This window comes from Homo sapiens, chromosome 21 (genome assembly GCF_000001405.40).
Source record: "Homo sapiens chromosome 21, GRCh38.p14 Primary Assembly".
NCBI lineage: Eukaryota > Metazoa > Chordata > Mammalia > Primates > Hominidae > Homo > Homo sapiens.
The window spans coordinates 38,992,648-39,018,891 of record NC_000021.9 but is presented as its reverse complement, the minus strand read 5'-3'; the positions used below and the strand labels follow the sequence as shown (position 1 = coordinate 39,018,891).

General features: G+C 47.6%; 1 long non-coding RNA gene across 5 annotated transcripts in view, besides 1 other annotated feature; it reads left to right on the top strand.

The window, feature by feature from the left end:
* Window positions 1-26,244, top strand: part of LINC02940 (long intergenic non-protein coding RNA 2940) — a 33,906-nt gene that overhangs the window by 365 nt on the left and 7,297 nt on the right. For 2 of the 5 annotated variants that reach the window (XR_007067866.1, XR_007067865.1), the window contains exons 2-3: window positions 1,111-7,804; window positions 12,108-13,232. This is a non-coding gene — a long non-coding RNA (long intergenic non-protein coding RNA 2940). Of the gene's footprint in view, window positions 1-1,110; window positions 7,805-12,107; window positions 13,233-17,168; window positions 26,148-26,244 lie in introns of all 5 variants that reach the window. The other 3 variants (XR_007067868.1, XR_007067869.1, XR_007067867.1) reach the window with 3 other exon arrangements.
* Window positions 1,632-1,701: an enhancer, noted in NCBI's record as "active region_18465". NCBI's record gives its function as "activates an Ori minimal core promoter by ATAC-STARR-seq in GM12878 lymphoblastoid cells {active_cell/tissue: GM12878}" and the evidence as "EXISTENCE:reporter gene assay evidence [ECO:0000049][PMID:35858748]".

Here is a 26,244-nt window from a genome sequence, read left to right as displayed (position 1 = left end):
GCTACAGTCCCTGAGGGAATTCTCAATGCTCTAGCACACTTTCTGGAATGTTCAGTGTCTTGCAAATAGCCTAACAGCAATTTCAGAAGCACCCAGAGATGCTTAGGAGCAGTAATGATGATTTGACAGGCTTTATTCCTAACACTCTTTTTTATTTTCATTTTATTTCTTCATTTATTTGAGATGGAATCTCGCTCTGTTGCCTCAGTTGGAGTGCAGTGGTGCGATCTCCGCTCACTGCAGCCTCCACCTCCCAGATTCAAGTGATTCTCCTGCCTCAACCTCCTGAGTAGCTGGGATTACAGGCACCCACCACCACGCCTAGCTAATTTTTTTGTATTTTTAGTAGAGACAGGGTTTCGCCATATTGTCCAGACTGATCTCGAACTCCTGGGCTCAAGCGAGCCACCTGTCTCCGTCTCCCAAAGTGCTGGGGTTACAGGCATGAGCCACCCTGCCTGGCCCCTAACACTTTTGATTGTGGAGGTACAGGGTAGTGGGGGAAGAATTGTTTAGTGCATTCTTGAGTAACCCCTAGTTCTCAGCTAGTCTGGGGAAAGATTCACATCCAGAAAGCTGAGGGTTCAGATTATTGACTGGTCCAGATGTAGGCTGCAGAAGATAGCTGGGGAGGCATCCCCCATAGACAATTTCCATGGCATCCAGGAATGGCTCGTTCCAAGGCTGGGATGACCCACTGAGTTATTGTCAGACTTTGGAAAAAAATGAATTGGGATGGCTTCAAACCCTCCAGGAAAAAAGGGAGGGGAAGATGCAGGGCATCCCACATCATCCCACATCCTCCTTCTTGATCGAGATAAAATATTTGAACGCTTGACCGCATTGCACAGTTTTAACTGGTCTAAGTGCTTCTGCAGATTTTGAGCTGAATGATACAAGCACAGCGCTACTCAGATTTGAAATACTGAGATCTTTTCTATTTCTCACCTCTAGGCTTTGTGAATACATGCGAGCATGCCTTCATTTTACTAAAACATCTCAGATTGAGATGTTGAATGCACCATAGTTATTATTATTTATTTAATCTCTGGAGATGGTGGGCTAACAGAACACTCAAATCTTACAGGAGTTTCTCATCTCATTTTCTAGGTTGGATGCCTCAGCGTGCATTCCCAGGACTTTATGAGATGATCCACTGAAGGATTTCAGCAAGAACATTCTGGAGTGTCAACTGATACGTTTTTCAGTCTCAGCTTGCTCACTGTTTGAGTAGTGTCACATGTACATGCGTGTTATTAGAGGCGAATGCACGTTTTTGTTACTGAGAGAGTGGCCCTAGAGCAGATGCCAGCGAACTGCAGCCCACAGCCCGAATCTAGCCTGCCGCCTCTTTTCATGTGGCTCACAAGCTAGTCATAGTATTATATTTTAATAGTGTGGGAAAACATCAGAAGAAGAACAATATTTTGTGGAACATGAAAATTATATGTTTACATTTTAGCATCCATAAACGTGGTTTCATTAGAACACACTTCTATGGTTTGAATGTCCTCTCCAAAACTCATGTTGAAACTTAGTCTCTAACGTCACTATATTAAGAGATAGGGCCTTTAAGAAGTGATGGGGGCATGGGAACTCTGCCCTCATGAATGGATTAATCTATTCATGGATTAATGGATTAATGCATTAATGGATTGGTGGTTTATCATCGCAAGGAAACTGGCAGTTTTGTAAGAAGAGGAAGGGAGACAGTGGCAGGGAAACTGGCGGCTTTGTAGCAAGAGGAAGTGAGACTTGAGTCCTCTCACCACAGGTTGCCCTGCACCAACCACCACAGGACTCTGTAGAGAGTCCTGGCTAGCAAGAGGATCTTCACCAGATGTGGCCTCTTGACCTGAGACTTCTCAGCCTCCATAACTGTAAGAAATAAATTCCTTTTCTTTATAAATGACCCAGTTTTAGGCATTCTGTTTTAAGCAACAGAAAATTAACTAAGACAATGCTCATGCCCATTCACTACATATTATCCACGGCTGTTGCCTGCATTTTGATGGCAGAGTTGAGCAGTTGCAACAAAGACCAAATGGGCCAGTAAAAGCCGAAAATATTTACTATGTGGTTCTTACAGAAAACACTTGCCAACCCCTGCCCTAATCACTGGCTTCATTTCCTGGGACAATGTTTCTGTACTTATCCAACTTTGTGGATAGCATTTTTTTTTTTTTGAGATGGAGTCTCGCTCAGTCACCCAGGCTGGAGTGCAGTGGCACGATCTTGGCTCGCTGCAACCTCCACCTCCCAGGTTGAAGAAATTCTCTGCTCAGCCTCCCAAGTAGCTGGAATTACAGGCGCTCACCACCATGCCCTGCTAATTTTTGTATTTTTAGTAGAGACGGTGTTTCACCATCTTGGCCAGGCTGGTCTTGAACTCCTGACCTTGTGATTCACCCACCTTGGCCTCCCAAAGTGCTGGGATTACAGGCGTGAGCCACTGTGCCTTAATAAACTTTCTCAAATAACTTACATATATATCGAATGAGTAACCCCCCTCAGTAATTTTACCTGGGATTAGGGAAGAGGCATTAGAAGAAGGCCAGGGAAAACATCTTGAAGCCAGCAGACTGTGAAAAGTCAAGAAGCTGAACAAAGAGTTGATTTGGTGGGCTGTGAATGAGCTTGAGGGCAGGCCATGTGTGTCCTCCTTTAATCTGCTACTGTCTTTGTATGGATGTTGATACTGTAGTCAGCCAGTGGTTACAGAGTCACCTCAGCCTCATATTAGTGTCATGCTGCCTTGTACTATACTTACTGAGCACTTCCTTCCCCAGGAGCCCGCAGCTCTACGCTCAAATTTATTTCTCCCCTTAACATTCCTGGGAGAGGGGCTTTCCTTGGATACAATCTCTTGTGATCAATTCACTTTTTAGGTACATGAAATTTTAAAAAGAGACAAACCCTCATCAGAAATGGGAGAACCTTTCAGCAAAGCCCAGGTGGCTGTTCACAGGTATTTGCTGGTTGTTTTTTTTTTTTTTTTTTTTGAGACGGAGTCTCGCTCTTTTGCCCAGGCTGGAGTGCAATGGTGTGATCTTGGCTCACTGCAACCTCTGCCTCCCGGGTTCAAGTGATTCTCCTGCCTCAGCCTCCTGAGTAGCTGGGATTACAGGAGCAGGCCACCACACCTGGCTAATTTTTGTATTTTTAGTAGAGATGGGGTTTCACCATGTTGGTCGGGCTGGTCTCAAACTCCTGACCTCGTGATCTGCCTGCCTCTGCCTCGCAAAATGCTGGGATTACAGATGTGAGCCACCACACCCAGCCTATTTGCTGTTTGAATGTAGGTGAATGACTGGGTCCAGCCCCATTTATTGATTCCAAAGTTGACCCTTACTTGTCTGACTCTTATTTGATCAGCTACTCTGCTATTTTATATAGGAAGATTTAGATTCCAGGAACCCTGGTTATCTCAAAGTTTTGATGAGCACAACAGGCTTCTGCCATCAGGTAAGTGTTCATCTTACTTAACAAGATTTTTTTTTTTTTTTTGGTGGATGTCCAAAATAGAAGTTCTTGAGAACCCAGGTGAGAGGGTGCATGTGGGTTTAGGCAACTGGTCAGCCCCCCAAAATAAGATCCGGTAAAGGCATGACAGACAGAGGCTCTGGTGCAGGAAGTAGCTTATTCCAAATGTTAGGAGGAAACAAAGTAAGTGGCTGGATTGTGAATCCGTGTAATTTATCAGTGGATACTACAGTTGGATGATAAGTAGAAAACCTCAGAGAGCTGAATGAGAAAAGAAATGGTTCTGATGAGGAAGGCCTAACTCAGAGAAGATGGAAGATTTTATTCTGGGAGGAAGAATAGACTTAGTAACATGAATGGACTTCACCAGCTCAGAAGCCCTCTGGAGTTCTGAGTCAACTGCTTATTAATACAGTGTTACGTAATGACTTAAGGATGCACAACGTAAACTTTCCAGAAAAGCAAAAACCACAAAAGTGGGCAGAACCTTAATTTCTCCTTTGTTTGCTGATTCGTGGAGGCTCACATGATTTCTTTTAAGGCTGGTGCAGCCCCTCCACTGGCGTCCAAGAAACGGAAATCTCCCAATGTTAGTAATCCCGTCAGAAGTTTCGGTTTTCGTGGAAAACATGCCTGGTGGCCTACGTGGGGCCTCCAGGCCACACACCTCCACTCCATGAAGCTGTCTCTCTCAGGATGCACGGGTGACAATATGTTCAGATGGATGCTTTGAATCCAGGGCCCCAACCCCCAGCCTGCTGAGACACGACACCAATACTGTGATTGCCTGAAAAAGATAATTGGCTCATACTTCTCTCAATATTAAAAGTTTAAAAAATATGTGAAATGAAAATGCTAGAGAAATGAATTCAAAAAGTCCAAATCCAAAATAATCTAATCTGATTATTATTTTCAATTTTGAATATTAATTTATAGAAGTCTTAAAGCACTGCCAGTCATGGTGCTCACATGTTGTTTGCACATAGACCACCTCACAATGAATGAAATGATCGGCTCCTTCTTTCACTAGGGGCACAAAGTCACGACCTGGCTTGTCCCTGGGATTTGCCTGCTGTGTGTTCCCTCGTCTTCATGAGAGAGGTTCAGGCAGAGAATCCTGCCTGGATTCCCACGTCTGTACAGTGCCAGGCACCTGACAGTGGAGGGCTGTGATATGATTTGGCTGTGTCCCCACCCAAATCTTATCTTGAATTGTACTCCCATAATTCCCATGTGTTGTGGGAGGGACCCAGTGTGAGATAATTGAATCATGGGCGCAGTTTCCCCCTTACTGTTCTAGTGGCAGTGAATAAGTCTCATGCCATCTGATGGTTTTATAAGGGGAAACCAGGCCGGGCGCAGTGGCTCACGCCTGTAATCCCAGTACTTTGGGAGGCCAAGGTGGGTGGGTCACGAGGTAAGGAGATGGAGACCATCCTGGCTAACATGGTGAAACCCCGTCTCTACTAAAAAAAGAAAAGAAAAAAAAAATTAGCCGGGCATGTTGGCGAGCACCTGTAGTCCCAGCTACTCTGGTGGCTGAGGCAGGAGAATGGCGTGAACCCAGGAGGCAGAGTTTGCAGTGAGCCGAAATCGCATCACTGCACTCCAGCCTGGGCGATAGAGCGAGACTCTGTCTCAAAAAAAAAACCAAAAAACAAGAAAAAGGGGTGGTTCTCATTCTCTTTCTTGCCTGCCGCCATGTAAGATGTGACTTTTGCCTTCTGCTATGATGTGAGGCCACCCCAGCCACGTGGAACCGTGGGTCCATTAAACCTCTTTTCTTTATAAATTACCCAGTCTTGGGTATGTCTTTGTCAGCAGCATGAAAATGGACTAATACAGGCTGCACCCTGGTCCTGCCTTCTGCTGTGTTTCCCTGAGGCAGCAAAGCCTCCTATGAAACGTGTCTTCCTTTACTGTCTGCCTCACCTCCTCACTCCATTTATTCCGCGTTTCACTGCCACTTCTATGATGAGCCGCTGCTTTGGAAGGGTCCCCTAAATGGTCTGCTGATGGCTTGGCCTTCTGAGCCTCCCTCACTCCCTGTGCACTGGGGTAGGCCCCTTCTCCTGCAGACAGGCTCTCAGGCCACAGGGAATGGGTATGGAATGGCAGGTGTGGCCGGAAACATGGGGATGTGTGAGGAGTGTGTGCATGTGGGGTGTGTGAATGTGAGCATGTGTGTGTGCATGTGATGTGTGTGTGAATGTGAGAGTTTGAGAGAGTGCATGTGGGGTGTGTGAATGTGTGTGAGCGTTTGAGATTGTGCATGTGTGTGTGCATGTGATGTGCGTGTGAATGTGTGTGAGAATTTGAGAGTGCATGTGGTGTGTGCATGTGTGTGTGAATGTGTGTGAGAGTGTGCATGTGGTGTGTGTGAATGTGAGCATTTGAGTGTGCATGTGTGTGTGTGCATGTGGTACATGAATGAATGAGAATGTGTATGTGTGTATTGGGAAAGTGAGTGTGATTGTGTATGTGTGAGTGTATGTGAGCATATGTGAGTGCAAGTATATGTGCAGGTGTTCATGTATGTGTGTGTGTGTGCATGTGAATGCATATGTGTATGTTGGTGAACATCAGCCCGAGAGTGTGGACACCAGAGTGAGTGAGAGTGTGTATGAGTGAGTGCAGGCGTGAGTGTGAGCATGAGTGTGAGTGTGTGAGTGTGAGCATGAGTGTGAGTGTTAGCGTGAGTGTGAGCGTGTGAGCATGAATGTGAGTGTGTGTGCGTGAGTGTGTGTGTGAGGGGTGAGGTTGCAGTAGGTGTCTTACTCATCTAACTTTGTCGGTGGAACAGGCGCTCCCCTCCCATCTTGAGGTGCCCTGTGCGGTGAGCTCCGGGCTTCTGAGGACAAGAGTGTGGCAGAGGGCGCCACTTATGGCATGAGTGAAGTCTGCTGGTGGCTGCTGTAAGCTGTGTGTCACGTTGCCTTACAGGCACATTCTATAAAGGAAATTGGTTTGCTTTTCCTTAAATGAGACTAGGGAAGCTAGGGGTAGGGTGACAGGTAGCTGGAGATGAGGATTTTCTCACTCGCTCCTCGAATTGTACTGTTGGGTGAATGGGCAGGTGCATGAGGGGTCAGTGGTAGGTGCACTGGGTGCAGAGCCCCACTGCACAGGGTCCCTCTGACCCACCTGGGCCAGTCCCATGCCAGCCCCTTCCCAGGTGCTTTTACCTCCAGCATCTTCCGATCTGCTCAAACTTCCAGCAGTGGGGTCTTTGGGGGTCCTCAGGGCTCTGTCCTGGATGTGCCTTGAACTCCAGCCTGTTTCCTTTAGGGCCTCCACAGCCTCCCGGGGCCCCAATAACCTCCATATGCCTGTACTGCCCTGGCTGTACCCCTGCTCGTTCTTCTTGTCTGAGCTCCACACCTGTGTGTGTGTCTGCACATCCTGCACCCACCTCCCCACACTGCTTCTCAGAACCTGCATAACTCCCTGCCATGAATAATTCTATGTGGCAACTTGACTGGGGCATGGGGTGCCCAGATACTTGGCCTAACCTGATTCCGGGCATTTCTGTGAGGCTGTTTTTGGATGAGTTTATCACTTAAGGTGATGAGTGCGCAAAGTAGATTGTCCTCCCCAGTGTCGGGGGGCCTCATGAGATCAGCTGAGGGTCCCGAGCTGAGTAGAACACGGCTGGCCCTCCCCCAGGTAAGAGAGAATTCCTCCTGCCTGCCGGCCTTCGAGCTAGCTCATGGGCTTTTTCCTGCCTTTGGACTAGGACTGAAACACCAGCTTTTCCTGGGTCTTGAGCCTGCAGCTTTTGGACTGGAACCTACACTCTGGGCTCTCCTGGTTCTCAGGCCTTTGAACTCAGATGGGAACTGTACCCTTAGCTCTCCTGGGTGTCCAGCTTGCTGACCACAGATCTTGGAACTTCTCTGCCTCCATAATCACGCAAGCCAATTCGTTGTAATACATCTCTATCTGTCTATGTCTTCTAGGTTAAGTTTCCTGGAGAATTCTGAAGGATATGCCCCCTTCCTCTCCTACAGCTCAGAGTTGTTCTGTGCACTTGGATCAGCCTCCACAACTTCCCCCCGGGACAGGGCACCCATCACCATCTCCTACCTGGACAGCAGCAAACACTGCCCCCGTGACTTCCTGGTGCCATCCTTGGCTCCATTACGTCCATTCTCCAGTGGCTGGCAGAGTGAGCTTGAAGAACGTGTGACATGCCCTTCAGAATGTTCTACTTCCTGTTCCAGAAGGACAGCCCCTCATGCCTTCCCGCGGGCCACACGCCACCTCTTCCTCAGTGCCCCAGCCTGGCATCCTCTTCCTGCATTCAGCCTTCTTTTCCGAGGTAGCGCTGATACCAGTTGTCACTAAATACAACATGCATAACTGTTCAGCTTCTCTCTAGTAGAATAGATCATAAGCCTCATGAGACCCCAGAGCCTCTGTCTTCTTCAATACCCCCCAGCACCCACCCCAGGGCAGGGCCACAAAGAGTTGTGGAGTGACCAAGGGGTAGATGAACATGGAATGCAAAGGCTGAGGGTGTGTCCACCAGGAGCACGGGGGGCAGGAACTTGTGCAACAGCAGCGGCACAGATGAAGTGGCCGGGCTCCTGGGACACCAGCTAGGGAAGCCTGGCTAGGGGAGCTGGAGGGAGGCCTGGGGGTGGCAGGAGAGAGGGTGTGTGTGTGGTCGTGGCCTGGGAGGCCAGCAGGCCAGAGCTGGGAGGGCTTCGCACATCTCTCCGGAGCTTGGGTCCATCCTGGAAGCCATGGGGAGGAGCAAGGATTGAAACTGGGAGCGGGGTCTGGCTGTTGGAGGTAAAGCTACTGGTGCCACTGAGCCTTAAGACTCAGGATAGTAGCCCTGGCTGCGAGGTCAGGGAGCCAATGGAGACCAGGGCCTGATCCGCGTTGGGTTTTCTCAATTATCCCCCCAGGAAGAGGCTGCATCAGGAATGAGGGCACAGAAGCCGGCTAGGATGGCTTGTGATTCCAGTAGGGCCCCTCAGGAGCCCTGACAGCCAGCCTCTAGGTGTGGCTAGTTCAAAAGAATATTCTTATTTTATGGATGTGGGGCAAGCTTTCCTTATCTTGGAGGTCAGCAATGGGGATGCACTATTTTATTTATATAATCAAAATGGTTTCACAGCAACAAGAATGACTTTAATCCTGCCAGCATGTTGGCATTGTTTGTGCAAAGGTACGTCTGTTTGTCAGCATTTTAGGTGATCCAACTTCCTCTCCAAATCCCTACCTCCCACCCCAAAACACATTGGAAGCTCCACGGAGCAAGTCTCTTTTCCTTACTGGAGGCGCTGGCCCGACAGGGCTGGGGCAGAACACACAGCCAGTGCCTTGGGCCAGCGTCAGCCTTGGCTCTGGGGGCTGTTATTTCCAACTGACCGGTCTTGGCTGGCCAGGAGGGGAGTGAGCCAGGTCATGGGTGCTGGAGGCTGTGAAGAGGAAGCCATGTTCAGAGAGGTTCAGCTCGTTACCCACTCAAGCAGCCCTGAACAAACACCCTTTTCTGACCTCCAGCTGCTAGTAAGAAAGTGCAGGGAGGACACAACAAAAGCTGAGGGCAGACTGTTTCTTCCCCCACACCTCCGCAGTCTCTTCCCTTTGGGGAATGTGGGCCCTGCCCACTCACTGCCCACTTACCTAAGTCCCACTGCCACCCCACTGCCTGTACAAAAGCAGGTGAGAAGCCCCTCCCCTCAAAGAGCCTTTCCCCAGGCCCTGCTGAGGTGACCCCCATATCTTCACCTCCCAGGACACAGACTGCTTGGATCAGGGGTTCCCAGTGTTTTGGAATGAGGGTCCTTTGTAATGTCAACACATCTTGAAGACTCATGGGATAGGTTGGTATTTGTTGGTTGAGAAAATAACTATTGTCAAATAGGTGTTATAAATAAATTATTGACCCTTTTAAGGCAATTGGGGTTTTGCTAGCCTTAATAGCACCTACATATTTATTGCAAAACAGTCAATCAGATTTGTTCAGATTTCAGACAATGCTTGTTGGACACCTGAGTTCCCAGACACCTTGTCGTAATTCTGTGATTTCTCACCCCCGTTCTGTGGCTCCCCCAGGATGGGGATTACTGAAGTTACTGAATGATGCATTATATTCCTGAATTCAGCATATGACTTGTCTTCCCAGGGAATTTACAAGGCCTCTTGGAGGGCTGGGATGATGGCTGATGGCCCCATGCCTTGTGTGGAAGTGGGCACGAGGCAGGCATGTTGCTACCAGTGACCCCACAGCAGGGCCAGAGGGCTTTTATCCCAGAGGCTGTTTTGGGAAAAACAAATCTCCAGTGAAAGCTACACGGTAATCACATGAGGAGAAACTGTCATTCAAGAGGCCAAGGTGGTAGCACAATAAGGCCATTTATTCAAAGGTGTATTTTGTTAGGGAAAAATAGTCAAGGCTGTGGAAATGGTTACGGCTCAAACACCAGTTCCGGACACAGGGAGAGGGGTGGACGCCAATCATGTTTGAGCATTGCAGAAGAAACAGTGGAAACTCGCCCTTTGTAAAAGCAGAAGACACACAGACGGGAGCAGGGTCGGGGGGCCAAGAGCACCTGAAAACAAGCAACAGGGTGGCGGAGGAAGAAAAAGAAAAAAAGGTTTCCACCAGCACAGTCTGGCTTCTCTGCCTCATAGAAACCAGGAACAGGCTCAAACAGCTTAGAGCAGAAATCCTCTCTGAGGTGACAAGGTGGGAAAAGTCGTGACTTCCTTAGAAAAAACTGATTTATTAGCGCTGGAGTTATTCCTGTTAAATATGCTCCTCCAAAGAAGATAATTATGTGGCTCATTATTAATTAGAATTCAAAAATGCTTTGTTCACATGAGGTCAGGCCTCTAGTTCTTGCATTTTGGGAACCGTGAAAGCGTTTGAAGTGGGCCAAGTGCTTGTGGACGCGTGACCTAAGCCCTGTCCTCTCCATCTGCCACCCAGGGACTGTGGCTTTTCTAAGTGAAGAGTACAGTATGGTAGACCTCAGGGTTGTCCTGGTTCTGCTGCAGCCAGCTGGGGGACCCTGTACCATTGCCCTGTAAGAACCCTGGGCCTTAGTATGTTCATCTGTGAAATAGAGGAGTGGACTTCATTGCCTCTGAAGTCCCTAGAGGTTTAGATGTCTATCCTGTTCTAGAAAGCATCCCAGATAATTTTTCTTTCCTGCAGGGTCAACATCTTGTGAGTATGGGGACCAGGCAACGTGAGCTCCAGCTCTAACTCTGTCCCAATCAGCTGTGTGACCTTGGGCAAGATGCTTAACTTCTCTGGGCCTCAGTTTTCTCATCTGTGAAATGAAGTTAATAGAGTGTTTTTTGTTGTTGGTTTTTTTTTTTTAGTTTGTTATTTTAAATCCCATTGGTTGTTGGGAGGATTAAATGAATTTGTGCAGCGCCTGGTGTCTGGTACCTGCTCAGCGAATGATGCAAACCCTGTGAATTGTAGTTACTCCATCATACAGCAACTCCAGGAGTTGTGCTGAAATCTCTCTTGGGATCTGAGGCATCATATAATAGGTCAAAGGGACCCATTCCAAAGGGAAATAGGTGACAGGTGAAAATATGTGTAGAAACGCCCTAGGTTCAATTAAAAATATGTGCTAAGAGATGCTAGAATTCCAGGTTCTAGCATAACAATTTGAATATTCATTAGATTGCAACAGCGGTTCTCAGGTTTAGGTTGTGTCGGAATTCCCTGCAGGGCGTGTTAAAACACGGATTTCAGAGTTCTGATTCAGAAGATCTGGGTGAGGCCCAGGAGTTTGCATTTCTAACAAGCTCCCAGGTGATGCTGACGCTGCTGGCCCCAAGAGCACACCTTGAGGACCACTGGATTATCGATTCTATTCTAACGCTGCTTTTTTTCTCTCTTCCAAATTTGAGTAATGCTTAGATCCCACTTAAAGGGGGAAAAAACAATGGGTTCTCTTCTCATTTGTAAAATACTGTGTTAGTCTTATTCTACAAAACTGTCTTTCAACTGTGAATTTATGAAAGTAGACTAATTTTTAAAATTTATATTGTCAACTGAATGGAAATATAAAATGGAAACATTTTTCTAGAAAATTCACACCCGTGGAGTACAACCTGTCTAACAAACATTATGCTAAAACAGAAACGATTCTGTTCTCTCTATACTTGTAAGGGTAATGAGGAAGTAAATGCAGGGAGGGGATTGTGAATGGCCAGATTTGGATTTTGAGTCCTTTTCTGCCTGGGATCCCCCTCTGTGAGGGGCCGTGGGCTGTGCACAGCTCTCTGGCCCCTGTTCCTTAGCTGGAAGGAGCTCTGCAGGGTGGGCTCCAGTGTGAGGCTCTGAATCTTCGCCATCAGCTGCTGGGAAATACAGGACCTTCTGCCAGCAGGGTCAGGCTGTCAGGGTTCTTGGCTGAGGAAAGAGGAAGCTGGAAGCTGGGTGGGACAGGGTGGGAGGTGCCAGGGCTTTGGCGTGAGTTTTCCTGTTATTCTATTCTGTTGGCTAGCTCCTAAATTTAGATTAGGTTAAAAAAAGAAATGTTTCAAGTACAAAGTGAGTTGAGCAGTCCCCTGGGGCAGCTAGCTGTGCTGTGGAGATGCACACAGCTTGAACTGACTCGATATTCTTTTTTTTTCATCAGGTGTCATCTTGCTGGAGGGCAGAAGGATTCCCTGGAACCTGGGGGCCAGCAGGACAGAGGAAACAGAAAGTACATGACCGATGATGTCTTTCGACCACAGAAAGGGCTGGAAGAAGCAGGGGACCTACTGTTTGAATAAACCCAGTGGAAAAACAGAAGCCCCATTTCATACTTGACTCAGCTCTTCAAGTTTAAATCTTGAATCTCCTCAACTACACGGAACAGTGTCTCTCCCAAGTCATCTGACACCCACTCTGTTCTCTGGATCATTCCTTCCTAGAGAACGTTGCTCTTGGAGGGCTGTGATCTGCTCTCACCCACTTGCCTTTCTGACCCACTGAGTGCATCTCAACAGTCACTTGGGGTGATCCGATCTGACCAGGAAGGGTTGGGTGGCTCGTGGAGCTTGGGAAGCACTCTCACTGTGGCGGTCCCCATTGGTGGTCATGGGGTTGCCACAGTGAGCTACGTTTCTACCCTCATCTCTCTATATGTTACCGTGGAATCTCTGACTGAGGACCCATGGGCTCACCCAATGTGATAAAGTCCTGAAGCTCAGCCGGGACGTCCGACCCCAGCTGCAGGACTTTCCAATAGACAGATGCATAGAACTTGAGAAGAAATCGACTTAGAAACCTGAAGTTGGAAAACTGGTTGCCTGACATTCTGTGCAAGACTGAATCTCTGAGAAATGAAGGCTGTGTAACTTTGGGACCATGTCTTTTCCAGCCTACATAGACCCCCAGGAAACTTTGCAGTTGTTCCCCAAGTATGGATGGAGTCAAACTTGATGTCCTTTCATCCCCCCATCCCATCCACTAATCCATATCCTTTGGAAATTTTAGAGTGCCGGGCCTCATGTAAATACACCAAAAACAATTTAAGTCATTTATGTTCTACTAAGCCAAGAGTTCTTTAGCGGTGGAAGAAGATGGGGTCTTACACGAATGGAAGGGTCTTGGCTATTTGCGTCGGTATCAACAGAAGGACTAGACGCTTGCACTAAAAGAAAAAGCTGAGGGATGGGGGCAGGAAGCGGGAAGCTGGGACCCAAGCCCCACCTTCCTGAGTTGGAAGGTGACAGGTAGACTCCTGCTTGTTTGCCAGAGAGGCCTGGCAGAGGAGGTGAGTACACGACATTGCTAAGTGGATTGAGTAATGTCCCCCGCAAATTCATGTCTAACCAGAACCTCAGAATGTGGCTTTATTTAGAAGCAGGGTCTTTGCAGATGTTAAGTCAAGATGAGGTCATAGTGAATTAGAGTGGCCCCAAATCCAATGCCTGCTCTCCTTCTAGGAAGGGGAGAGAGACACAGGGAGAAGGCCGCGTGAAGCTAGAGGCAGAGATGAGGGCGGTGCAGCCACGGCCAAAGAATGCCGAGGATGGTGGCTGGGACAGGCAGGGAAGGTTCCTCCCTGAGCCTTCAGGGGAGCGTGGCCCTGCCACTGCCTTGTTGCCAGACTTCTGCCCTCCAGAACTATGAAAGGATAAATTTCTGTTGTTTCAAGAACAAAAGAATTAACACCTAGTTTGTGGTCATTTTTATAGCAGCCCTAGGAAATGCATACAGCTGGGGAGACCTTCTTCCAGGGACCTGCCTCTGAAAGCATAAAAGCAAGTGCCTTCCAGCATCTGGCAGGGTGATGGCCCAGCCTCGGCACTCCCCCACCCTCCTGCCAATCCCCCTGCCCCCCCGGGCCCCCCGCCTCCCCCCCCCCCCCGCCCGCTTCCTGCTCAAGGCTCTGTGGCTGCTGGCAAGGCCTCTGTAGGGAATAGGTTCAAGAGGAGGCCTGGCGTGGTGTCGGCCCATGGTCCATGCTGGACAGACAGCTTGGCTTACTGCGGTGGCCTTTTTCCTCTTTGTGAGCGTGTGCTGGAGAGAGAAAGGCAAGGGAGGAAGTAGAGGAGGCCGGGTCTGCAGAGCTGAGGAAACCGATGTAAACACTCTGAGAAACAGCCACTCAGCGGGTGTGAGAGTTGGCCTGAATGCCGTGGACAGGGCTCTACGGAGGGGGCTGGAGTGGGAGACCTTCGTCGTCACAGCTCTGCCCCTCACTATGTGACCCAAACAGGGTACACTTCCCAGCTGCCTCAGTCTCCTCATCTGAGGAATGGGCTGATTCACACAATATCACATCCGAGGGTGTGCTGAGGATGTCATACACATATCCCTGGCAAGGCTGCTGGGAGGACAGAGTGAGTGAGCAGGTGCAAGACTATTGTCTCTCTGGTCCGTGCTGTAAAACAGTAGCTGCTAGAGGATTGCAGTGATATTGTCGTTTCCTTAGTAACAGATGTTGCTGTTTGGGAAATTCCTACAGCCAACGGCCAAGCTCCTGGCATTTAATGCTGGTGTCTCCAAAGATTGGTTCTCATCTCTTGAGGGCTTGTTTTTAATGAGGGCACACTCGTGCCCCCAGAGCATGCAGGTTGATGTCACACGCAGCCCTGAATCACACTGTGGTACCGAATCACACTGTGGTACCACGTTTCCCTGACGTAAAGCTAGGAGAGGAACGATGTGACCATCCCAAATGTTCCAGTCACCCTGACCTTTAACCCTGGATTCTAAGAAGGCTCCAGATGTTTTTTGTGGTTAGAGCTCCCAGAAAATGACTCCTTCCTCTATGAGACATTATCTGATGACAAGAAGATTCTGAGCAATGTGGGGGAGTGAGAATATTTTCATAATATCTGCCATTAGAATGACTTAGAAATGGAAGACCCAGGTTCAGAAATTAGGATCCCATGCACACTGTACTCTTGTGAGGAGGTGCAGAAGTTATCTCTTCCCTTGGTAATCCTCTTTCTTAGAACTCGGATATTTATCAACCACCTAACTGGCTGCTTGAAGGATGGACACCTTTTTTTGTTTTGCAAAGAAAGGAAGTTGCAAAAGGTCACAAAGCAACTCCATATCCTTTGGAAATTTTAGAGTGCCAGGCTTCATGTAGATAAACCGAAAACAATTTAAGTCTTTTATGTTGTACTAAGTCAAGAGTTCTTTAGCAGTGGAAGAAGATGGGGTCTTACATGAATGGAAGGGTCTCGGCTATTTGCATTGGTATCAAGAGAAGGACTAGATGCTTGCTCTAAAAGAAAAAGCTGAGGGATGGGGACAGGAAGCGGGGAGCAAATCTGAGACTGAATAAATGTAAATAAAAGAGCTAAGATTGTTGAGCAGGTGCTAGGAGCTGGGTCAGATTTTATTCCCAAGAAATCTTAATTATTCTGCCTCCTCCTAGATAGGGAACGTGTTGCTTACCTTTGCATCCACACCTGGCTCGCACCAACCATGCAACCAATAATTGTTCATCTGATGAAGGTTGTCAAAGGCTTGGACAACCCTTCAGTAACTCTTTAAGGGAAACCACCCACCCATTTCATCTTATCGGCTTGGCTTTCAGTATTTATCATGTCAGTGACTCTTTATCCCAGACCCGAGGTTGATTTTGGTCACCTGGCGGGGTCATTAGAGCCGTGATGTCATCACACACCTGGCCCAGCTGGTTGGGACTGGGGCTTCGATGCTGTATGTGCGACCAGGCTTGTTAGGCTCAGCAGAGAGCTGGCATCCTGGCCACTGGCTGGGGTCAGGGTTTCCCAGCAGGGCGTCTCCTTCCTGGGAACACCCTCTTCTCCCCACCTTTGGTCTCCTCTCCTGCATCTGGCACCCAGAACCTCCCTGGGCCTTCTCTATCCCTCCAACCACCTGCCTGGACTTAGCTGGCTTCCACATTCAGCAAGGAGAGGGGTGAGGGGCTAGAGGGTAGGGCCCGGCCTGGGGTCTTCTGATGCCCCATGCTGTGACTTGGCCCTTGTAGCTGCTGCTCTGCCTCTGGGCCGGATCAGTGGGAGGTGGAGGCCCTGGAAGGAGGTGCAGTGGCTCTAGGGTTCTACTGGCAGCAGCATGAGTCTAGCGCATCATTGTCAAAGGAAATAATTACAGGCCGGAGACGCAGTTCCTTGTGGCCTGATTTGGGCCATGACGTCTCCCAGAAAGCCTCTTCTGAGGTGAGAGATTTTGATAATCCCAAGGGCAACAGGTTTCCTCTTTGCACCTCATTACCATTTTTCTTGGCTTAGAAATGAATGTCAGCCCCGGTCAATGTACATTCTGTGTCATTTAAGAATTACTAATATATGGGTGGAATTACACTAATATGTTCACACTGTGACGTTCCTTCTGGGTTCCATAAGGGATACAAAGGTGATTTGAGCATGCATCTTGTCTTTAAGAACTCTGGCATAGCAGGGATACAAGTGCACACACATGTGTATGCAGACACACACACACGCACACGCTGTATTAGTTCTGCTGCTGCTCTAACAACTTATCACAAACACAGTGGCTTAAAACAATGCAAACTTAGCATCTTACACTCCTGGTGGCTAGCCATCTGACCCAGGTCTCCTGGGTCTAACGTGAAGGTGGCGGCGCTGCTCTCCTTTCTGGAGATTCTGTTCTCCTGTGCTTCCCGGCTTCTTCCTGCCCCTGGGCTGGTGGCCCCTTCGTCTGTCTCTGACCCTTCCATGCTCACACCTCTCCGTGCCCACATCGGGGAAAGGATCCCCACTTTAAAGGCTCGTGTGATTAGATTGGGCTCACCTGGATAGTCCAGAAGAATTTTCCCATCTCAACCTTGATCACATCTGCAAAGTCCCTTTTGCCATGGAAAGTAACATATTCATGGGTTCCAGGGATTAGGAGATGGCCCTATTTTGTCATATTTTGCTGGAGGCGGGGAGGATATTATTCTGCCTACCATAAACATATGTACACACAAATAGTAACAATAAGTGTAAATTTATGTTTGTATATGTATAAACAATTACTATAATACAACATAGATGAGTGACTTATTGGAGCTCCTGCCTGGGGATGTATTCCAGATCTGGGTTGGAGAGGTGGGGCAGTGTGCATAGGGGATGAGTTTGCAAAAGCACGCACTCAATAACAATGAAGTATGGCATATATCTCTATATCATACCTTCATATCTATCAATCATCTATCTACCTATTTTTATTTTATTTTATGTATTTTTTTTTTTTTTTTTAGTGACAGGGTTTCAATCTGCAGTGGCAACATCTCTGCAACCCTGAACTCCTGGGCTCAAGCGATCCCCCTGCTGCAGCATCCGGAGTAGCCAGGACTATAAGCACACGCCACCACACCCAGCTAATTCTTAATTTTTAAAGGTTTTTGGTACAGACAGGAATCTGTGTTTTCAGTGTTACTCATAAGAAGTCATAGTTGAGAAACAGTGACTGCTCTGTGGGCGCTTGGGAGTTGGAAAGTCTTGGAGAGGAGGGTCCTTGGAGGATGTGAAGCTGGGCATCCAAGGATGGGAGGGTTTTGCAGATGGGAGGTCAGGCTAGGTAGGAAAAGACATCACAGGCAGGTACGAGGATCCCTGAGTCTGTCAGTCAGGTTGCAGGTGGGGGCTTTATAAGGAGCAGGTAACTGGCAAATCACGGAGGTCAGGGCCCCTGCAAAGGGTGTAGGCCTGGGGCAGCGTTCAGAGATGCAGAGCAGAGCAGGACACGGAAATACCCAGGACTGTCCGAGGAGCAGAGCACAGCAGCAGCAGAGATGGGGTGGTTGGTGGGTGTGGGGAGGACTCAGCCCTGCTGTGGGCACAAAGGTGGGGATGGAGGAGGGTGGGCACCAAGGCTGGTCCTGAGGCAGTAGAGGGTGGGTGGGTCCCTTCCAGAAATGTCCAGCACGGGGCATCCTTATCCAATCCCACATCAGTAGGCTCAGCGCCACCCTGGACTCATTGGAAATGCAGATTCTCAGGCCCTGCCCAGCCCTCCTGAATCAGAAATGCTGGGGAGGTGCCCCAACATCTGTGTTCTCACAGGCCCCAGGGGATTTTGTGGCGCTCAAGTTGTGGAGCCACTGTCCTATTGTGTTTTCCTCCCTCCCAGTCACTCCTCTTCCTTCTCCTGAGCTTGTCCTCCCCAGTGGTGGTCAAGGCTGGGTCTCCATGTGTCTCACACTCAGCTGTCTTCCCATTGTGACAGGCCATGGTGAGCCTCTGTGGCTTCTGAGAAGTCACCCAGATGACTCAAAGTTAAATCACCTGCTTTGCAGCAGAGCCAGGGGGCGGTGGGGGCATCACTCTTTGACAACAGGAAGGGCTGTTAAACAAAGGCTGGTGGCCAGGAGTTCCCCTACTTCCCAAGAGTTCGAGGAAATAACTTCCTTGCAGTGTCAGGGATTCAGGGAGAGGAAACAGACTCCCTTCTAGCGTGTGATGTCAACACAGGAGTGACAATGGGCTTCCCACCTCCAATGTCCCTAAAGCGGGTGCTCATCCACTGCGACCCTGTCTCAGGGTGGGGAAATGGACAGGTGGCTTCGTGCAGCCCTGCACCCTTCCAAGCATCTTGTCAGCTCCATTCCTGTCTGGAATATTCCAAGAGGACCTTATAAGATTGAGAATGAGGGTCTCCTTATAAATGTAAACCTCACTCAGGCTGCAGCAGAAACCTACGGGGAGGCCAAATAAACTGGGGGCTCTGTGGATTGTATGTCCCCCCGGCTTGTCGAGGTGAGGAACAGTTTCACTCCTGGGCTGTGCCACCCGGTGCCGAGGGTGAGCTGGGCCAGGAATGTAACAATGATGGGACGAGAATAGGGAAACAAAGCTGAGTTTCTGTAGAAAGTGTTATCTATGAGGTCTTTCACTTTATTTTCTAATTTGCAAAGATACTTCTGATTTTCCTGCTGTCAGCCATCAATATCTTCCTCAGATGTTCTTTTTCCAGCTCGAGAGAACAAAGGGCATTTGAGGCAAAGATTGAACCTAGGAACAGAGAGGAATGTATGGTGCATGATCTGCCTGGGCCTGAGTAGACGGACCTCAGCACAGTGGTGGAGACTGGGTTGTGGGCACAGACAGCAGAAGATGGATAAGGACAAGGGTCTCTGGGTTGGCTGCTGGCTCCACCACTTAGCTGCGTGTCATCCCTGGTGAGAGATTGGACAGGAGAGAATGAGGTTGTCCATGTCTCCAGGACCCATCCCCATCTGAAACCACTGTCTCCTGTGGCTGTGACACAGGCAGCCTCCCTGGCCTGTCCCTGCTCTGATGGGAAGACTTGGTGCAAAAAGGGGTGCAGGCTCCTGATGTTTTTTAAGTGAACTTAAAAAAAATCATGGTAAAATACCTAACATAAAATTTACCATTTTAGCCCTTTTTAAGTGTACAATTCAGTGGCACTAAAGACATTCATACTATTGCCTAACTACCACCATTATCCATCTCCAGAACTTTTTTTTATCTTGCAGAACTGAAACTCTGTACCCATGACACACCAACCCCCTCCCTCCCTTCTCCTCTCATCTCCTGGTAACCACGATTCCATTTTCCGTCTCTATGATTTGATTATTCTCAGTAACTCATGTAAATGGAATTATACAGTATTTGTCCTTTTGTGTCTGGCTTATTTCATTTAGCATAATATCCTCAAGGTTCATCTATGTTGCAGCATGAGTCAGAAGTTCATTTCTTTTTAAGGCTGAATAATATTTCATTACATGTATGTACCACATTTTATTCATCTATCGATGGACATTTGGGTTGTTTCTACTTTTTGGCTATTGTGAATAATGAACACTGTTGTGCAAATATCTGTTCAAGTCTTTGCTTTCAATTTTCTAATGTAGATATCCAGAAGTGGAATCGCTGTATGATGTAGTAATTCCATGTTTAATTTTTCAAGGAATTACCATGCCACAGACACTGTACCACTTTATATTCCTACTAGCAATGCACAAGTGTTCGGATGTTTCCAAATCCTTGACAACGCTTCTTCTTTTCTTTCTTTCTTTTTAAAAAATATTTGGTATCCTATCCTGTACATAGGAATGGGCAAAGATTTTATGACAAAGACACCAAAAGCAATCGCAACAAAAGCAAAAGTTGACAGATGGGATCTAATTAAACCTAAGAGCCTCTGCACAGCAAAAGAAACTATCAACAGAGTAAACAGACAACCTACAGAATGAGAGAAAATATTTGCAAACTATGCATCTGACAAAGGTCTAATATCCAGCACCTATAAGGAATTTAAACAGATTTACAGAAGAAAAACAACCCCCTTAAAAATTGGGCAAAGGACATGAACAGACACTTCTCAAAAGAAGACATACATGCGGCCAACAAGCATATGAAAAAAAGCACAACATCACTGATCACTAGAGAAATGCAAATCAAAACCACAGTGAGATCCCATTTCACACCAGTCAGAATGGCTATGATTAAAAAGTAAAAAAAATTAATAACAGATGCTGGCACGGTTGCAGAGAAAAGGGAACTCCTATGCTCTGTTGGTGAGAGTGCAAATTAGTTCAACCATTGTAAAAAGCAATACGGCGATTCCTCAAAGAGCTAAAAACAGAACTACCATTCGACCCAGCAATCCCATTACTGGGTATATACCCAGAGGAATATAAATCATTCTACCTTAAAGACACGTGCACACGAATGTTCACTGCAGCACTGTTCACATGGAATACTGTTCACATGCACACATAGCAAACACATGGAATCAACCTAAATGCCCATTAATGACAGATTGGATAAAGAAAATGTGGTACATATACACCATGCAATACTACGCAGCTATATAAAAGAATAAGATCATGTCTTTTGTGGGAACATGGATGGAGCTAGAGGCTATTATTCTTAGCAAACTAACACAGGAACAGAAAACCAAATACCACATGTTCTCACTTATAAGTGGGAAGTAAATGATACGAACTCATGAACACAGAAGGAAATGACAGGCGCTGGGGTCTACTTGAGGGTGGAGGGTGGGAGGAAGGAGAAGCAGAAGAGATAACTATTGGGTACTGGGCTTCATATCTGGGTGATGAAATAATCTGTACAACAGACCCCCATGACACACCAGTTTATTTATGTAACAAACCTCCACAGGTACCCCCGAACCTAAAATAAAAGTTTTTTTTTTTTTTTAAAGAAAGGAATGGAAAAAAAGAAACCCACTAGGTATCCTGATGGTTGAAAAGCGGTAGTAAATCGTGGTTTTGCTTTGCATTTCCCTAATGGTTAGTGATGTTGCAGGTCTTTTCAGGTCCTTACGGGCCATCTGTATGCCTTCTTTGGAGAGACATCTGTTCAAGTCCTTTGTCCATTTTTGAGGCTGGCCTCTGATTTTAGTTCCAGATGCAAGACTGGCTAGTTGAGCCAAAAGATCCCAGTTTCCTTTAATTTTTTTTTCTTTTTAACTTTTACTTTGAGATGAAGCCACTTGTTCCTGTAACTGGCTGGACGAAGTTATGCTTAGACAAAGATGTTTCTGCAGTGTGAGTGAATGGCAGGCTACTATAGTTCTGTCTCTGTGGGGATGGGGGCATTCAGCTATTGCGTTTCATTGCCTCCCAGGTGTACCCACAGAGACTATGATTTGCTTTAGCCAATGCCTCCCCCCTTGCAACTGGAGCAAAAGGGAGATTTTGTAGGCTTGGGAAGTAAGTGGTTGAAACTGCTGAAGTATACAGCTGTGGTTATCAAGACAGAACGGCCAAGGCAGAGGGAGGTGGCTGGATGTTTGCTGTAGGCCTAAGTCTTGGCTTTGAGAACAATATGGAAGAAAGTCTTCAACCTCTTGGTTCTCACTCCCGGCCAGTAGGCACGTATTCATGCTGTTTGTTGTCAGGAAGATTTTGGGAACGTTCTATGGTTGTTTAAATGGGTTGCAGCATATTTTAAAACTGGACATTATGGTGTGGCATACTGATCGTGAGGGAGGCTTATGTGGGGTGGCGGGGACAGGGAGTACATGGAAACTTTCTGTGCTTTTTGCTCGGTTTTGCTGCGAACCTAAAACTGCTTTAAAAATAAAGTATATTAAAAAAGAAAGGGCTTTAGTGCCAAAATAACAAAAATATAAAGATTGTGTCATAAATTAAGGAGTAATATAAAACATATCTTTGGAGAGGTTTGGCTTTCATAAATAAGGCTTTATTGTCAAAGCTAGATTAATATTTATTGTTATTTAATATTTATTGCTCAGCCTTGCATTCTGGGAGTTAGATATCTGTATACTATATACAGTAATTGAATAAAACCCCATATCACAGGTCATTCACTTGTCTGTGTATGTGTCCATATACGCATGCACACACACACAACACACATGCACACACATTCATGGGTGTCCTGCACGCAGGACTGGGGAGTCATGAGGGCTTCAAGGCAACAAGTGCTTGTTGAATGTGGACTGTGGCATGGATAAGGTTGTTGTGTGTTTTCTGACTATGAAATCTGCCCCTACTTCTCCTTAACTAAGTTTATTTTGCTTTGATGAGCATCCTGCCTTCCACTGCCCCAACCACTGGGGTTGCTTGGGCCCCCCACATCTTCCTACATGCATGGCCTCTCTTCAAGTTCTTAACCTCTGCAACTCTTATCACAAGATCATGCCCCACTTCTTGAAATGATCTTGGCTTCTGGGACACCATTTTTTCTTGATTTCCTTTTTCTTTCTCTGATTCTTCCTGCCTGATCCCCCTGTATTGGTCGGATGGCCCACTAAGATGTGGCAATTTAAGAGTAGAATTTAGGAAAGGTACTATTACAAAGCTGGGGGCAGGGTTTAGGTTGTTGCAACACCCCAGGTCTAGAGACAGTGGGGAGAACTTACCAGTGCTCTGTCTGAAGGGCCAAGGGGAGGCAGCCATTATCATCAGCAGAACCTGGGGAGAGAGCTGGATGGAGCAGGTGCATCTCCTAACAGGTGCTGTTGCCTCAGGGTAGAGAGATGCTGCCTGCCTGAAGCAAGCAAGCAGGGAGGGGCCGGGGATAAACACCCTCCTCCCTCCTTGGCATGTCTTCATGTGCTCCCGCTTCATGGGGCTGGGAGGCAGGGAGTCATAAATGCATTTTGTAGGTCGGTGTCCTGGGGCAAAGGGCAGAGAAGAAAAGCAGGAAGGGTGGGTCTGCGGGTCCACACAGAGGGTGTCCAGCTTGCACCACATCTGTTATGGGCTGAATCGTGTCCCCCAAAATCCATAGGCTGAAGCCTCAAACCTCAGCACCTCTGAATGTGACTGAATTTGGAGATAGGGTCTTTCCAGAGGTAATTAAGATAAAAGAAGGTCATGGGGTGGGCCCTAATCCAATCCGGCTGGTGTCCTTATAAGAAGAGATTAGGACACACACAGAGGGAAGACCGTTTGAAGACCTGGCGAGGAAAAGAGGCCACCTGCAAGCCAAGGAGAGGGGCCTCAGGAGAAACTAACTTTGCCGGCACCTTGATCTCAGACTCGTAGCCTCCACAAGTGTGAAAAACTAAATGTGTATTGTTTAAGCCGCCCAGTCTGCAGACTTTGTGATGGCAGCCCTGGTGGATGAATTCACTGCTTAAGTTTGCAGGCACCCCCTACGCTTTCTTCCCTCACCTTGCTTCATTCTTCTGCTGCATGTATTACTGCTGGCTGTGCCCAGCGCTTCATTCCTGTCTTTCTCTGTCTCCCGAGGCTGTTCCCTTCCAGTCAGCCTCCTGCGGGTGGGCTGTCTCATCCTTCCTGCCGCAGGCCCGGTGACTAGAACAGCACCTCACATACAAAAGGTGCTTGGCCATGGCGGGCATTTGTTTAATGAAAGAAAGTTTTCCAAATCTCTTCTTTCTAATGTTCTTCTCTGGTTTCTTCTCCTCTGCTCACCTCTTAACTCCAAGGCCTCATCTCAGCTACACTTGGGGATATTTTCCACTCCCTGCATGGACCCAGAGTCCGGCTGAGGTCATGTGGCGAGGTCAGATATTCTGAAAGTTAATGCGTCCCCACTTTTGAGTGCCCCTTCTGGGTAGGCCATTCCAAGAGGGGCTTATAGGAAGTGCAAGGGAGACGGGCTTGAGCTGAGTTGGACGCACAGTGAGGGATATGTGTGTGAGAGACAGAGAGAGAGAGGGAGAGGGGAGACAGAGAGACACACAGAGAGACAGAGACAGAGAGAGACAGAGACAGAGAGACAGAGACATAGGGGAACACAGGCAGAGAGAGACAGAGACAGAGAGACAGAGACATAGGGGAACACAGGCAGAGAGAGACAGAGCTACAGAGAGAGACAGAGACAGACAGAGACATAGGGGAACACAGGCAGAGAGAGACAGAGCTACAGAGAGAGACAGAGGCACACAGAGAGAGACAGAAGCACACAAAGAGAGACAGAGACCAACAGAGCATTGACACAGGTCCACAGAGACAGAGCTAGAGACAGAGAGAGCGTGCACGGCGCACATGTATATAAAGCCTGTGGGGCGCCTTTTCTTTTCACATAGTGTGATCCAGTCCTATCAATTACTAGGATATTGGCATTTGTGATCATTGCGTCGTCTGGAATTTTTTTCTGGAAAAAAGAGGAAACACAGCCATCTGCCCAGAGCCATCCAGAATATGTCCCAGAGGCCTGTCTGTGTGTACGCGCACTCAGAAGCCTGGGGGCCCTTTCCTTGTCTAAATGTAGCTCCCCCACCGCGTCCCACCCCTGCACAGGAGCGAGGCCTGTGTCAACTTCAGCAGAGCGAGAATGAGGACAGGCCCAGGGGCAGGGAACTGGACGAAGGGAGTTGGAGGCCTTTTCTTGGGAATGGGTGGACCATTGCCCTGCATGGGGACAGGGACGGCACTGGTGGGGGAAGGAAATCTTGAGCTGGTTTCGGCCTTGACCCTCAGCAGCTAGCCCCGGGAGCTCTCATTCTCTGGACGCCAGGGCCTTGGGTTCCTTGGATGAGGTGAGCATGAGCATGTGGGGTAAGTGTTCATGTTTGTGCATGTATGTGTCTGTATGAAAGAGAGTGAGAATACGAGAACATGCCTGTCCTGACTCACAGAGTTGGTGAAATAAAATCAAAGACCCAATGAAAAAGCTCTTGAAAAGGTAAGAGGTCTGCCCAGAGCCAAGGTTTGTTGCCGATCCTGGGATTAGCTGACTTCTGGGCATTTGGAGCCTGCAGCCGTCTGGACATGATCTGGGGACAAGTGGAGGCCAAGAACTGAATATCAGAGAGAGTCTCAGAGAGAAGGAATGTGGACTATGGCAGGTTGCCAGGGATCACTCATGCACACGGATGTTTTGTTTCATTTTTTAGAAACTTTGGGAGAGGAAATAAGGGGGAGAAAATGTAGAATATATTGCATTTCAGAACTTAGGATGCCAACAACAAATTGTACAACTGCTGAAGCTTATTATGGGGGTTTGTTAACATGTGAACTTAAATGCACCAATCCTATCCCTTGCCTCCATTCATTTAACTGTTTAATAAATATTTGTTGAATGCCTAAGATTGATTAATTAATTCAGCCAATCACAGATACTATCACCCTCTTGCTGCATACATAGCATTGTGCTAGAGTTGATATAATGTCTAACATGTTTGAGGAATTATTTCATTCTGGAAATTATTCTTTCCACCTCTTCAGCATCCTAGGAGAACTCCAAATAAACCTTAGCATCTTATTTCAATATTTTTACATCACTTGTTTAAAATTTCTTAAAACCAAACCGGGTTTATTTATGTCAAAGTATACGCAAAATGTATGTGCACGAGAGATGCCATCTGCAAATATAAAAGTCTGTAAACCAAGTCCCTGCCCATGATGGGGTGACACAGGGTGGAAAGCGTGTGCAGGCTTGCATTCTTATAAATATGGATGAAATGCACATTCAAGAATGGTTTGGAAATGATTATTTCCTCCATTTGTTGGCCAAATGTACCAAATCCTTATCTTGGCCTCTTCCTTCTTTTGTTTGGAAAGCCCCACGTTGTCCTTGTCAACTTCCTCACTCATGCTGGTCTCTGGAATGAATTGTTCCACCTCTCCCTGGGCTATTCACTGCAACCAAGGACATCTTAGCAATGTGATATATTTTCCCCTCTCCGAAGTCAAATAGATGTTTTATATCCAATGGGCCAGATTGTGCAGGAGCTTGTCTTCACCCCCACAGGCCACAGGCTGGAGCCTTCCTGGAACAGAGGCTACATTGGCTGTCTTTTGACAAAGGTGCCTGGGTCCTGGGACTTCTTTTGTTTGGAGCTCAGCGGGCTGTGTGTCTGGCTGCTGACATAGCACAATGTTCCCATCTTGGCCCTCTCCTTTC